Source organism: Homo sapiens, chromosome 6 (assembly GCF_000001405.40).
Source record: "Homo sapiens chromosome 6, GRCh38.p14 Primary Assembly".
Taxonomy (NCBI): Eukaryota; Metazoa; Chordata; class Mammalia; order Primates; family Hominidae; genus Homo; species Homo sapiens.
In genome coordinates this window covers 38,570,062-38,584,941 of record NC_000006.12, presented here as the reverse complement: position 1 = coordinate 38,584,941, position 14,880 = coordinate 38,570,062, and the positions used below count along the sequence as shown (strand labels likewise).

The 14,880-nt window shown below is 37.1% G+C and overlaps 1 protein-coding gene across 13 annotated transcripts in view; it reads left to right on the top strand.

The window, feature by feature from the left end:
* BTBD9 (BTB domain containing 9) overlaps positions 1 to 14,880 on the top strand; it is a 471,479-nt gene that overhangs the window by 54,988 nt on the left and 401,611 nt on the right. For all 13 annotated transcript variants that reach the window (NM_001099272.2, XM_047418145.1, XM_047418146.1 and 10 more), the window contains 2 exons: positions 4,505 to 4,724; positions 7,223 to 7,342. In NM_001099272.2, coding sequence (NP_001092742.1) covers positions 4,505 to 4,724; positions 7,223 to 7,342 — 340 coding nt within the window. The remainder of the gene's footprint in view (positions 1 to 4,504; positions 4,725 to 7,222; positions 7,343 to 14,880) is intronic.

The window sequence follows — 14,880 nt, the reverse complement described above, 5'->3', positions numbered from 1 at the left end:
AGCAAATACTCTTCCATAGATTCTTCTGCCTGGGTTCTTTTTTATTTCCATTCTGTGGTATGTTTGAGTGCCAGTACTGTCAAATGTGGAAAGGAGGCCTGCAGAGAGTGGGAAAAAGGGGGAGGTAAAGTTAAGGTAAGTGAGGAATTGTCAAGAAAGTCACTTGTAATGCTGCAGTTCTTGGGGATTATTCACAGGAAGGGAGCATCCATACATTTTCTAGGGAAGTTGGGATGGGGAGTAGAAAATGATTTAGGTGACAGAATTGGGTAAGTAGATTGCTTTGGGAAGAGAACTAAGTCTGGATCCAAATAATCCACTGGGGCGAATGACCATGTCAACCTACATGTAATAGAGAGTTCGATAAAAGATAATTAAGAACATAAAGCAATGAAAGAAAAGCACAAGGTAATTAACCCAGCACTCCTCTCAGATTTTGGCACTGTGTAGCTAGGGGTACATTCTGCTTCATTTCTCCTTAATTTTTCCTTCTAATAATTAGCAATCTCTACCTAGCTGTAGAATTTCAAAGCTTAATATTATGCATTAAAAATTATGTGTAAAAAATTATGATTATCTACTATCTTGTTTAATCTTTATCACCTTGTTTTTTCAAGACAGAGTCTTGCTCTGTCATCCAGGCTGGAGTGCAGTGGCATGATCTTGGCTCACTGCAGCCTCCACCTCCCAGGTTCAAGTGATTCTCCTGCCTTGGCTGCCCAGGTAGCTGGGATTATAGACATGTACTACCACGCTCAGCTAATTTTTTGTATTTTTAGTAGAGATGGGGTTTTGCCATGTTGGCCAGGATGGTCTCAAACTCCTGTACTCAAGCAATCCACCTGTCTCGGCCTCCCAAAGTGCTGAGTTTACAGGCATGAGCCACTGTACCCAGCCAGCACTTTGTATTTTTTGAAGAGCTTTTTTTTTTCTCTACTGATAGACAGATATAGGCACTAAGAATATTTATGGTTTGATTTATTTTATTATGATTTGAATTTTCTCATGATGATTCTTCCTATTATATTCATCACTTAATTATGGATTTTGCAGAAAAATTCTTGGAGTTATATTTTTATCCAATGAGATACTCATATAGTTACCATGAGAGAATTTCCACTTGTGTAGATGTTCTCTGTTTTGAAGTGAAAAATACTCTCAGGGAATGAATCTGTCTGTATCAAGAATGGTTAGGAAAGTTTTCAAGTACCCTTGAAATAAACTTCAAAAGAAGACTTAGACTTGTGGTAGAAATTTCATTTCCATTTTAGACTTTAGTCACAATCACTTGAAACTCTTGTGCCTGGTATGTTACCCCTAGCTTCATAAGTTTTAGTGTTGAAGAAACTTATGTTTAGAGAAAATCCAAAAGTGGCATTAGATTCTAAATCTGAGAGCTTGATGTTCCCGTCTTTGGCCTAGTTTTTTTATTTTTTATTTTTGAGATAGAGTCTTGGCTCTATCATCCAGGCTGGAGTGCAGTGGCACCATCTCAGCTCATTACAACCTCCGCCTCCTGGGTTCAAGTGATTCTCCTGTCTCAGCCTCCCAAGTAGCTGGGATTCCAGGCTCATGCCACCACACCTGGCTAATTTTGTATTTTTAGTAGAGATGGGGTTTCACCATGTTGGTCAGGTTGGTCTCCAACTCCTGACCTCTCAGGCAATCCACCTGCCTCGGCCTCTCAGACTGCTGGGATTATAGGCATGAGCCACCGTGCCCAGCCTTTGGCTTAGTTTTGACTTGTGGTGTCAGGACTGCAGGAGATGGTTCCAGGGATCAGCAGCAACAGACTTTGCACCTCCACTTTTTATGCCTAGTAAGAAGGGAAAACACATTTATTTTTACCAAGTAGTTATGCATCATTGATATCTGAATAGCATGGATTTCAAGCTTTTGTTTGCTTGCTTGCTTATAAAGTACTTCCTCTCTAGATTGGAGGTGTCAGGAGGGCAGGGCCTATCTCTGTCGAGTTCACTAATTCTTCCCGATACCTTGCATGGTGCCTGGTACAGGATGAGTCCTCAGAAAAATGCCTTTTGACTGAATACTGAATGAGCGCTTTATATGTTACTTTAGCATATATTATCTGTAGTGTAATTTTTATCTGTAGTGTATTTTTTACAGTAACCCTATGAGGTCAGTTGGACAAAGTATTCTTTTTAGATGAGAAAGCAGATTCAGAGAGACTAACAGGCCTTACTCAAGGGGGGTGAATGATAGAGCCTGAATCTTAAGCTTGGTTTTTTTCACTTTAACATTTTTTTCCCCTATATCATACTATTTGTTTCTTTCCTCTGGGTCTAAGGCAATTTTAGAGGGAAGTGGGGGTTAGAAAGAGGGAGAAGGTATGGCCATTCATCAGAAACCCTTCAAGAGGGAAGGAGCAGAATATTCTGTTAAAAACAGGGCCTCTGCAGGCAGACTGCTTAGGTTCTGATCTCAGCTCTGCTACTTCCTGGCTTTGTGACCTGGGACAAGTAAGTCTGTCTAACTTTTTTCTGCCTCCACTTCTCATCTGTGAAATGGATGTAATAATAGTACTGTACTCAAAGGATTATTATGAGGAGTAAGTCAAAGGAATTAATATTTGCAAAGTGCTTAGGACAGTGTCTAGCACGTCATGTATTATAGAAGATTTGTTAAATAGGAAGAATATGGGTGATTATCACACGCTAATAGAATTTAGAAAGTTATAAATCGATAGCACTTAAACTTCTGATGGTAAGAAGTTAAGCATAACTAGGATGTTTTGTTTATTTTTGCTGGGTTGCTACAGTCTTTTGCTTCCATTTTAAACTTCCATTTTTCAGCTGCAATATATTGTTCTTTTCTGGTGCCACTCTCTTTACTCATCTTCATTTGAAATTAAAAAAAATTTTTCCAGAAATCTGCAATGATGAATTACTATCTTTTTGCCAATAACCTGATTATAGCCCAGACTTTCCCGTATTCAAATCACACAACCAAAATGTATGTGTACTGTGAGAATTCGGTATTTTTTTACAGTCTGTAAACATACATAGTTCTCTTATCGTGTGCTTTTTAATATGTTTTCTTAATAGTAATGGCTGTATATTTTGAAAATATATGTATATATGAGTAGAGCTCATAATATGCTTTACAAACATCATCTCATTTAATTCTTAAACAGAAACACCTGGGGGATAGATATGGTCTCCCCCCCACCCCATTGAGAAATGGAAGTTGAGAGAGGGAAACTTCTTCAAAGTGATGCACCTGGCTAAATGTGGAGCCACTGTTTAATCTCTGACTCTTCAAGCTCTTAATATCTTTCTGCAGCCTCTTGTCTTTCCATGGAGAGTGTCAGTTTTAGAATGTTAGTACCTGGAAGATAGGTTCCACATCTGTGAAGCATAATTTACACGGAGGACTTCAGAGTCCCAGGCACAATTGGTGGTTAATAAATCTAATGTTGGTGAGGGGAGGGGATTTAATAATAACCATAATACTGATTTTGATGACAGACTATCAATTTTCATTTTTAAAAATTCTCAAGTGCAGAAAAAAGATATCTTTTTTAAACGATCTTGTTTTATAAGCTAGATTAATTAATTTCAGCATATTCATATATAACTAACAGCTATGCTATATTGGAACCTTTCTTTTTCTGTTGTTTTAACAGATTTCTGACCTGTTTGCTTTGCTTTTATACATTGTCCTCAGTCCAGATGGCAGGTACAGGTCATCTTACATGCTATTTTTGTTTAGTAGATTTTTTTGTTGTTGAGACGGAGATTTACTCTTGTTGCCCAGGCTAGAGTGCAATGGCGCGATCTCAGCTCATCGCATCCTCTGCCTCCCAGGTTCAAGTGATTCTCCTGCCTCAGCCTCCCGAGTAGCTGGGATTATAGGCATGTGCCACCACGCCTGGCTAATTTTGTATTGTTAGTTGAGACGGGGTTTTACTGTGTTGCCCAGGCTGATCTCGAACTCCTGACCTCAGGTGATCCGCCCACCTCGGCCTCCCAAAGTGCTGGGATTACAGGCATGAGCCACTGCACCCCGCCTGTTTAGTAGATATTAAAGTTACTAGTAGAATGAACTCAGCAGAGCTGATTTGTTTGTCCTAGTACATGCCTTTTCTAGTTTTATTAACTTTTGAAAAATAACATTAGTCTCAAGCACTTTGTGGTTGTGATACTAATATTACATTTAAACTCTGAACATTTTTTTTGTTTGTTTTTAATAGGGACAGGGTCTTCCCATGTTGCCCATGCTGGTCTCAAACTCCTGGGCTCAAGTGATCCACCTGCCTCGGCCTCCCAAAGTGCTGGGATTACAGGCATGAGCCACTGCACCCGGCCTCTGAATGGTGTCTTAATCCTCATAGATGTTCTGTATTTTCTATCCAATAAACTTGTCTATGCTGTTCTTAAATGCAGATACTAGAATAAACTGGAATGCTAGAATTGTATTTTTTTCAAAAAATACAGAATAAATAAGTAATCATTAACCTTGCTTTTTCTATTTTTAACTGTAGTACCAGAAGAAAACATTGCAACTATGAAGTATGGAGCCCAAGTTGTAAAGGGGGAGCTGAAATCAGCCTTATTAGATGGTGATACTCAAAATTATGATTTGGATCATGGATTTTCAAGGCACCCAATTGATGATGACTGCCGTTCCGGCATCGAGATTAAGCTAGGTCAGCCATCCATTATCAATCACATACGGATACTCTTGTGGGACCGAGATAGCCGGTAAGTGATTAGCATGACTTAGAAACTGACATTATGTTTGAGATGACTTAGCTTTGTGGTCATCTACTTTTGTTTTACAGATATGATGGTTTATTTCTTTGTGATCATTCTGCTATCTCTTGAAGGTTGGTTTTGGGGAAGGAGTTAAAGGATATATTTCTTTAAAAGAAATACACTTTTTTGTTTGTTTCTTCTTATAAAAATATGTGTTTATTGTAGAAACCATAGAAAATATAGAAGAGCACATAGAAGAAAATAAAAATTGCTAGTAATCTCATTACCCATTATTAATCTTCATATGTATCTAGCATTTTTTTCAATTATGCATGGACACATACACACACAAAACAGAAACCTGCACAAACATAGTTTTATAAAATGAAGATTAGATATACAAAAAGCTAATTTTACTTTTAAATTAATACATTGTGAACACTCTACCCTTTAAAAAATATTCCTCTAAAATGTATTTTTAATAGTCGTTTTGTATTCTACCATGAGTTAACATTATTTACTTGATTCATTGGTTTTGAATATTATAACCTTTTAAATGCATTTTACCATATGGTGAAGAGAAATAATGTCTTTTAGTGTGTAGATAAGTATTATCCTCAAAACAAAAGAAATTTGTGAAAAAGTTTAATGAACTCCAGTTTGGGAACCCATTTAGTTTCTTGGGGGCTTCAGAATTCTGCCTTTCTTCCAGCCACTGTGATGCTTTCACCCACTGTGGCTTCTAGGTTCAACCATAATGGCAGAAGTACCAGAGCAGTATGAGTGACAAGAACTGAACTGTTTCCTTCATTGCTGTTTATCATAAACCTAAACCCTGCATACCCAGAAACTGTGCCCCACTTATGCCTCTTCAGATCTGGGCATGAAGGGCTTAAATAGTAATGATGATGATGCCCTGCAAACCTTACAAGGTAGTGTGTTTCTTCTGTTAGCACAACTGCCACTATACTGGCCTTTTAGGCCATTTGAGCCAAGTATGAGGGGAAGCTTTATGAAGTGTGAGTCAGCATTTCCCATGTACATGATGTGTGAGATCCCCAGGTTATCTTTTCCTGTTTCCTTTTTATTAAGAATATATTTTCTGATATGTAGCTTATGGATATAATTTGATGTTTTTAATTGGCAAAGTGGAGCCAATCCACATATCTCATTTCCAAGAGTCTCTGATTAATTATAACAGTATAATAATAATATGTATATGCAGTACTTTCATTACTTTTATGTGGTAGACACTGTTCTAAAAGCTTTACGTATTTCACTCATTTAACTAATAGTGAAGTTATTATAAAAATAATAAAAGAAAAGTTTAGTATGTTTGAAGCAAAGTGGTTGTCATCGTTTCTGTGATGTTAATATTTATAGGCCACTTTGTGTCAGTATGTGCATTACATTCACGGGGGATTTAACTTTACCACATAACAGTTCTTTTCTTACAGAAATTGTTACCATTCTAAGCAAAGGTGAAAAATTCAGAATCTTAAGCCAAAAAGATTCTGACATGTTGTAAAATTATATCCTCTGTTACTGATAACCCAGAGAAGTTCAATAAAAGGTTATAACCAGTTTGAGACTGAGTGATAAAATGAATGAGAGTGAGGGGACAGCAAAGAAAGTGAGGGGATGACACAAAATAAGCTGACCTTTTCTGGTCACAACTGTGGGTTGCAGGATGACATTTATGGTCACCTAAATCTTCCAAGATTGTTCCTGTTGATATTACAGTACAAGTAATAACTGCATCTCAAATTTAAATTTGGCTTATGACAGGGGAATATAGATTTGTTCAGGATGGGACCTGCATGTAATGGTTCGGAGTAGCTGACTAGGGGAGGATTATAGGCTGTTTTCGTTACTGCCAGATTATCAGCTGGCAAGTTTTAAGTTGTACGAAACACGCATTATCTCTTGACTGGTGTCATTGATTTTTTTGCAGGTAGCTTGTATGTGGGAGGGTAGGAGACTGGGAGGCAGCAGGAGATAAGCTGCCCTCTGTGAGGGAGCCATTCCAAGTTGACTTTCTTCCTTAGAGGGGTGGCCGAACACCCTGGCCAGGGAAGGTAGAGGGAGAAAGCATACTTCCTGCTTCTCCATTTTCTGTTCTTTCTCTCTCTCGTGGCATCATTTATCTTCTAATATGGTATAGGTGAGACATCCTGACCATGTTTGAAAAGGAGTAAATATCTTGCATGCCTGATGTGCCAAGCACTGTGTAGGACCCTGGGGATATGAATATAAGTACAGGATGGCCTTTGTTCTTAAGCAGCTTATGATTTGAGAAAGCAGACAGACAACCTGAGAGATAATTTCAGTGCATTGTAGGTGAATGCTATCATAACATTCTTTTGTTATTAGAATTTGATTATGTAGAAAATGTAATTAGTGAATTCTGTATTTTTTGTACCTTTTAACACTTTATTAAAGTACAGCTTTGTATTGTTTTTTAATGTGGTAATTTTTTTCTGCTTTTTCCTTTTGATTCACAGGTCTTACTCATACTTCATTGAAGTGTCAATGGATGAACTTGATTGGGTCAGAGTGATAGATCATTCACAATATCTGTGTCGTTCTTGGCAGAAATTATATTTTCCAGCCCGTGTCTGCAGGTTAGTTTTCAGTGGTTAATAAATGATTTTTATTCTTATATAAGGAGATTTGGACTTGGAGAAGCAGAACTGCATTTTTCATCTTGAAAAAAGAGTTATTCAGGATGTCAACTACTAAACATATCCCAAGTAAAAAACTTAGGAAAGTATGGAAAATCATGCATCTTAATATTTACAGTGTGTTGTGGAACTATTTATACAACATGTCTTGTATAATATGTATGTAGTACACATGTGAATGAATGAGAAGGGACAGGGAACATTTGAGAAGTGGAATGCTTTTTAAACTCCGTGCTATACAGTGAATGGTAATATTCATTGTGATACATTGAAAGCAGAATTATTGTTAGGGGGTGCATTCTTCTTATGAAAGCCATGAGAAATATTTCTGGAGTCTTCCCTGGGAATGGCCAGGGCCAGAGGACATCTTTGAATGCCATTGTACATGTTCTGGTTATCTGTTTTTTCCTTTAGGTTAGTGGTTAACAAATGGGGTTTGACAGAACAGGTGTTTCAAGTGGGGTTGCATTTGGGGCAAATGAGGCTTAGCTAGTGGGGCTCTAGGCTCAGAGCTTCTCTTCAGCCAGAGCACCTCTGCTTTTATTTTTGTTATGTATCGCAGCCCTCGATATGGTTGTCTTTTAAAAGTATCAAAAAGCTACTGTTTTAATATTTCATATTCTCCCTTTAGGTATAATCCATCATTTAAAATTTCTGAAATTTTGTAAAGCCTATACAAATTAGTGAATTTGTTTAGGTGGTTAAAGGCCCCCAAAATTTTGTTGCTTTTTTCTGCTGTGTTTTCTCACTGGAAATTGCCTTTAGATATTCTTTACCTTAAAGTCAAAAGATTAAAGGTAGAAAGTGATTAGTTTGTTTGCTCAGGAAGAAAAGGGAAGGGATATGGTGAGTGTACACCATGGAGAATGTGGAGCTGGCCCCTCACCCATGACCCATCTGATCTCCCACTGTGGCTGATTGGGAGCAGATGGGAAGGCACCACAGCACTTAGTCTCTTGGTCAGAAGTTACTCTTATACTTGTGAAACTTATGGTCTAACAGCAAAAGGCTGAATTTTTACCTCCACTAAGGAACTTCACAAAACCGTTCAGCCTCTGGTACAGTAAAGAACGTTGCCTACATTTTTTTTATTGGTATGACCGGACACAATATTGTTACCCAGGGATCCTCTTGTGTGAAAATGAAGAAAATCAATTTCATTTCCCCAAAGACAGACTAAAGTGTCTCAGGTCTAGCGGTTGCTCTTTTATCAGAGGAGTTTTGAATGGATTAAAATAAGAGGGACAAGAAATTGAGTGAAGATTCCATATCTCAGAGCTGCCTAGGGATACTTCCAGAGTGACAGAGGGACCCCCACATAGAGGAGGAGATTGAGTCTGCATTGACTCAGGTTATTACTGTTGTATCTGATTAAAACACAGGCAGCATAACAAAGCGTCTGATATGGACTGAAGGACTGTGTGTTTGCATTTAATTTGAAACAACAGGAACATGACTCCCAGAACAAATCATTATGAATATAATAATACCAGCCATGACAGCCTGTGTGCTTTACCCACCTGAAAGCTCCTGTTGTATGTATGGAAACGTGCCTTTGATCATGATCTCTGGCTTTTAGAAAATATACTTTACCTTTATATATTAGTGAGCATTATTATACTCTCCTTATTTTGTCTTTCCTGTCTGGCCTTGACTTTGTTGGTAGAGCTGTTACGTGTTTAGAGACTGGCTGTATTCATGAAGGCAGTTTTTGTCTTGGTATAGCCAGCTCCCAATTCTGGTTGAAAAAAAATGAGCAACAGTGATGTTAGTGATAATGATAACAAGAAAAGGAAAGAATCTTGATATCCATGTTAATAAGAATTTTTTAAAAATTATAGCCACTTTATTATATTACTACTTTCCTTAGTAAACTGTCTTTTTTACTAGGTTATAATTTTGATAGTATTTAAAAATGAACCTAAGAATATGTCTCTGTAGATTAACTGAGGATGTCTTGGTGTTTCTTATCTTCACAATTATTCATTGTCTACCTAAACAATGTTCTAACTGCACTTCTTCCAAGAACTTCACTGGGCAAATAAATTGTTTATTTCCTTAGCACGTAAGTGTTCAGTTTGCATTATGTTAGTTAATTTGCACGTTTGTATGTCAGCTTTGTTCTTTAGTGTCCTTTGCGTGTTTATCTTGCCTCTGATACTAAAATTATAAGCTCTTGGAGGCAGGCAGTATGGATTCTAATCTTTTATTATTCTTGCACAGTGCTCAGACTGTGACCTTGTATGCAGTAGGTACTCTATAAATGTTAGCACAGGTTTCATGGTGTCAAGGCAATGACTATGTAATGAAGAGAGATTGATGGGAACATTAATATGTACATATATTCCTTGAGACTTTTTATCAATGTATTCATTAATACATGTATGAGTGCTGGAAAATTCTCTGTAATGGTAAATGGTTCTGAACTGTTTGCAAAGGTTACTTTGTTTTTTCTTCAGGAAACTGAATTTGGAGGTTATTCCTGAAGAATGTGTCATGTATTGATGAAAGATTACATCTAATACATTTACAAAAATGATACCTTATGTATGAGAAATCTGAGATTACCCCGTCCTCTCTCTGAGTTTAGGCTAAACTGCATATAAATCAGAACTGTGTAGTAGAAAAACAATGGGCTGTGGAGTTAGGTAGAGCTCTTCTCAAATTCTTGTTTAAAACAGTGGGCTGTGGAGTTAGGTCGAACTCTTCTCAAATTCTTGTTTAAAACAATGGGCTGTGGAGTTAGGTAGAGCTCTTCTCAAATCTTTGTTTCACCTCATATTTGTGTTGTAATACGATTGTGCCTCTCTGAGCCCTAGTATCTGCATCCATAAAGAATAGGAATACCAACACCTCTTCATGGGGTTTGATGTGAGAGTTAGATGATACAGCACATTTACATGTACAGAGCACAGTTCTGGCAGAAAGGAGGGACTCAATAAATGGCAGTCATTTTTATTATTTTTCCTAATTTCAGAAACTCCTGAATGGTGGTTGACCTTCAGAGAGAGTCATCCCTGCCATCCTCGTTGGTCACGGTAGCTCTCACTGTGAGGTGGCTCTCACTCTAACCTCTAAAGACCCTAGTCTTTTTGGTACTTTTTTGTATCGCCAACCCATACATACAGTCCAAAACATGCCTTAAACAGTTTTATCTTAACAACCGGCCTATCTTTGTATATGTCTAGGAGTTTTCATATATTTTGGTTGGTAAAATATATATAACATAAGATTTGCCACTCATCTATCTTGTCAAATGTAATTCAGTCAGCATTCACCTCACCAAGATAGTCGATGTTATCTAATGGCAGATAATATCAGGCTTCAAAGCCAGTGTGAACATTCCAACCATGATAATGAACTCAGAGCAATGGTTCGCTTTGCCTTTCTGGACTCATTTTAGGAATGTTCGTGAGTTAAGTGGGGATTGCTCTATGTAGCCAAAAGCTTAGACCAGTTATCCTCTTCAGCCTTTAACTGGAGATGGAGAAAAGTGACTCATCAATTTATGTTTAGTTTTTCATATGCCTTGAGAACCATGTTATGTCTTATCAGCCTTTTCTTTCTCAGGAAAGGCAATTTCCGCTTTACCCATAATCTGTAACCTTCAAATTGTCTTCTTGGTTATCTGGTAAACTCTCTCCCAGTCCTTTCCACAGCTTTCTTAGATGATCGAGCCTAGTACTAAACAGAAAACACTAGTAATGAATGGTGGATATTGAGTACTCTGGGGGGTGCTCTTAAAATTTTGAGCTATTCCTCAACATGGTGCTGTTAATTTGGCAGCCATATAATATTGCTGAAAAATGAGAAAACTTTAGAACATGAGCGAAAATGGATAGAAGTAGAATTCAAAGTGTGCATGTGACTGGTGGCTGGAATTGCAAGTGGGATCTTGGTCTAAAACCTGGGAGTTGAGAGAGAAGAAAGCAGGGCTAAAAGCAACGTTCTCAAGGTTATGCCCGTTGAGAGAGGGAACAAGAGCGTAGGTGGGAGAGGTATTTACTTCAGGGGCTGGTCAGAGTTTAGAGGAGGATTAGGAGCGTTGTTTACTGGAGACAAGGCCAGACAGGGTGTTGAGATGGGTGTAAATTGACAATTTAGAGTCTGGCATAGGAGAGATGAACTTGGTTAATACAAAACGGTTTCTTTCTTTATTTCCTTTTTTAAAAAATTATCAAAATGGAAATATCTCTCATTATAAAGTTATAATGTATATATTTTAAATATTGATAAAACTTGCCATCTGGAAATGTTGTACTCAATTTCTACCAATTGCATGTAAAAATGCCCCTTTCTGTGAACCTTCACCAATGCAGACACTGTCACCGTTTTGCCAATGTAATACATAATTTGTTTAAAACAAAAATCCTATTTTACTTTGAATTTCTTTATTGGTGAGTTAAAGTATCTTTTAATACTGGCCATTTGTTAATTTCTTATTTATGAAAAGCCTGTTTTTGTCTTCTGCATATTTTTCTTCTGAGATAGTTTTCTTTTTGTCTTGTGAGAACTTTGTATCAATACATATATATATATGACATTATCCTTTTGCCTGTCATATATGAAATTTGTTAACGCATTTTTAGTGTTTTATTGGTACTTTTTGCCATATAGAATTTTACTTTTTAAAAAATGTATTCAAATCTGTCAGTCTTTTAAATGATTTCTGGCTTGGTATTATGATTAGAAGATTATTCCTCACTCTAATATTAAAGTATGTTAAACTTTTATGTATATATATATATTTTTTCCACTACTTGTTTTTTTTTTTTAAGCCTTATATCTTAAGTATTTAATACAGTCAGGATATTTTGCATAGATCTTTTCAGGTAGGGATAGTCAGTTGATTAAAGTCATTTATTTGATAATCATTTCTTGCTATCCTAATGTGATCAGCCATATTTATGATGAGCTGGATTCTAGCATATACCCTACTCAGTTCCACTGATTTCTTTGATTCTTGCTGAAAGTATTTTAATTATTGTAGTTCACTTCCCTCCTTTTTCTTCTTTTCTTAGAATGAGAAATTGTGTGTGCCATATGTGTCATAGAAAAAAGAAAGGGTATCATAGAGCATCTGCTAGGCTGTCTTCTGGTTGTTGTAGTCACATTAGAGGCCGTAAGTGATGATAAACATCTCACTAGAATGGTTCTACTTTCACTTACAACAGGAAATTTAGGCATGCTTCACCAGCTAAGGAAATAGATTTTATGTATTCATTCGTCACTCACCCATTCAACAAATAAGCGCCTACTTTATGCTATTGTTGTACTTGATATTGAGGCCACAACACTGAAGAAGATTGCCAAGGTTTCTGTGCTTTTGGAATTTGGGAGAAACAGATTAAAACAAACAAATAATAAGCACATCACATAATTATAAGTGTTGCAAAGATGGTACTGTGATAGTAACAGAAGTCAGGGGAGAAGGATTATTTTAAATAGGATGGTTAGAAAAGGCCAGAGATGGGGGGTAGGTGTTTTAAGCTGAGATGAAGGGGGTGATATTTTCTGGTCATTGTTTTATTTGTTTTTGGTTTTGTGTGTGTGTGTGTGTGTGTGATTGTTTCTTTGTTTTTTAGATGGGCTTGCTCTGTCACCCAGGCTGGAGTGCAGTAGTGCAATCTTGGCTCACTGCAACCTCTGCCTGCTGGGCTCAAATGATTCTTCTACCTCACCCTCCTGAGTAGCTGGGACTACAGGCATGTGTCACCACACTCAGCTAGTTTTTTCTATTTTTAGTAGAGATGGGGCCTTGCCATGTTGCCCAGGCTGGTCTTCAACTCCTGGACTCAAGCGATCTGACTGCTTCAGCCTCACAAAGTGCTGGGATTACAGGTGTGAGACACCATGCCTGGCCCATTGTTTTAGATATTTACACAACATCTAAATATTTTCTTTGGTGTACATTGAATGTTATTTGGCAGTAGCTGGTCTACTGTGGGAGACCTCATTAGAGGAATACTCTAACTTTACTGTGTTTTGGTATATGGCATTTTAATCTCATTTATTGCTACTATACATTCTAGGCCCCCCTCATTCCTGGTGTCAATAGATACAGCATAATTTTTTTTCACCTATTCTCATTAGATTATAGTACTTACATAGTGCTATAGATCTACATAAAATAAATGAGAAAATAAGCATTGCTATTTATGGAAGCATTCTTTCCCTGCTATATTAACACTTGTATAACATATGTCTTCTTTCATTTCTCTTTTGTTCCCTACACCTCTGCCCATAACTGGGCATTGATGTATCTATTTACTTTTAAAGGTAGACACTCTTACATTATTCAGTGTTCACTAGATTGCTTTAGAATCCTAGCTAGAATAATACTGAGCCTTTACTTTCTTCTTATGACTGAAGAGCTTCACAATTCAAGAAATGCCTTATTCAGATGTAAAAGAAACAGGATTAGTTTCATTTTTTAAAAAGTTATCTTTTTAGTTCATACTTAGTTTGAGTTGTCCATCTACCTACAACCTTGATATTACAATTGAACTAGCAAGAGCAACCCTCATAGAGGAACATTTTCTTCTAAGAATGCAAAGCAAAGTGTAGCCACATGGTGTCACTAAATTATAACAATTTTACTCGAAGCTAAAGAGAATTTAAAAATTGCTTTTTTACACCATCATATTTAAATATAAATTGTTCTGAAAGTCTGTGATTTGTGAAATAACATGTGAAACTATTTGTACTATTTAAGTCTTTCTGCTGATGTGGAGCGTTAATTATGTCCAAAGTCCAGAGGTATATATTTTGGTGCTTGCTAGCTAGTTCTTGAGTTGTCATCTGCAAGGCATAGGAGAAATGTGGGCTTCTGTAGTCCAGCTATTCAGTTTCATGCAAATATATATATTTTTTAACCTTCCTTTGGAATTTTGAAAGAGAGGAGTAACTCAAAGGAGATAGGAGATAGATTCTCTAAATATGTAAAAGGAATCAGAAAACAGAAGAAAAGAGGAATGAGGATAAAGAGAAATGAGGTTACAGGACCTCAGAAGTGGTAGGAAGGGAACAGTCTAACATTTATTGAGTATCTTCTGTGGGTCAGGCACATCTCATTACCTTGTGTAATTCTTACAATAGTCCTGTAGGAGAAAAACCGCTACTTAATTTTATAGGTGAGGAAATTGAGCCTTAGAAAAGCTAAATTTGTAACCAGGTCTGCCTGACTCCACATTACATTGCTGATGCAAGAATCAAGGTAAAGAAATAGCTCTACCTTAGAGTAGGAGAAGGAGGCATTGAGCCCTGAAGAAGCTCTTACTACCTCTTTGGAAGGAGCAGTTTCCAGCAATCCTGTAGGGGAGGACCTGCTGTGGCCAAATTCTACTAGTGCTGGTCACAGCCACCCAGACTACACACACATTATACTAATAATGATGATGAACAACCGGGGATATTTTCTGTTTTAAAATGCTCCAAAGGGAGTGCAGCAATCCTTTATCTAGGTATGTTTTGTCAGT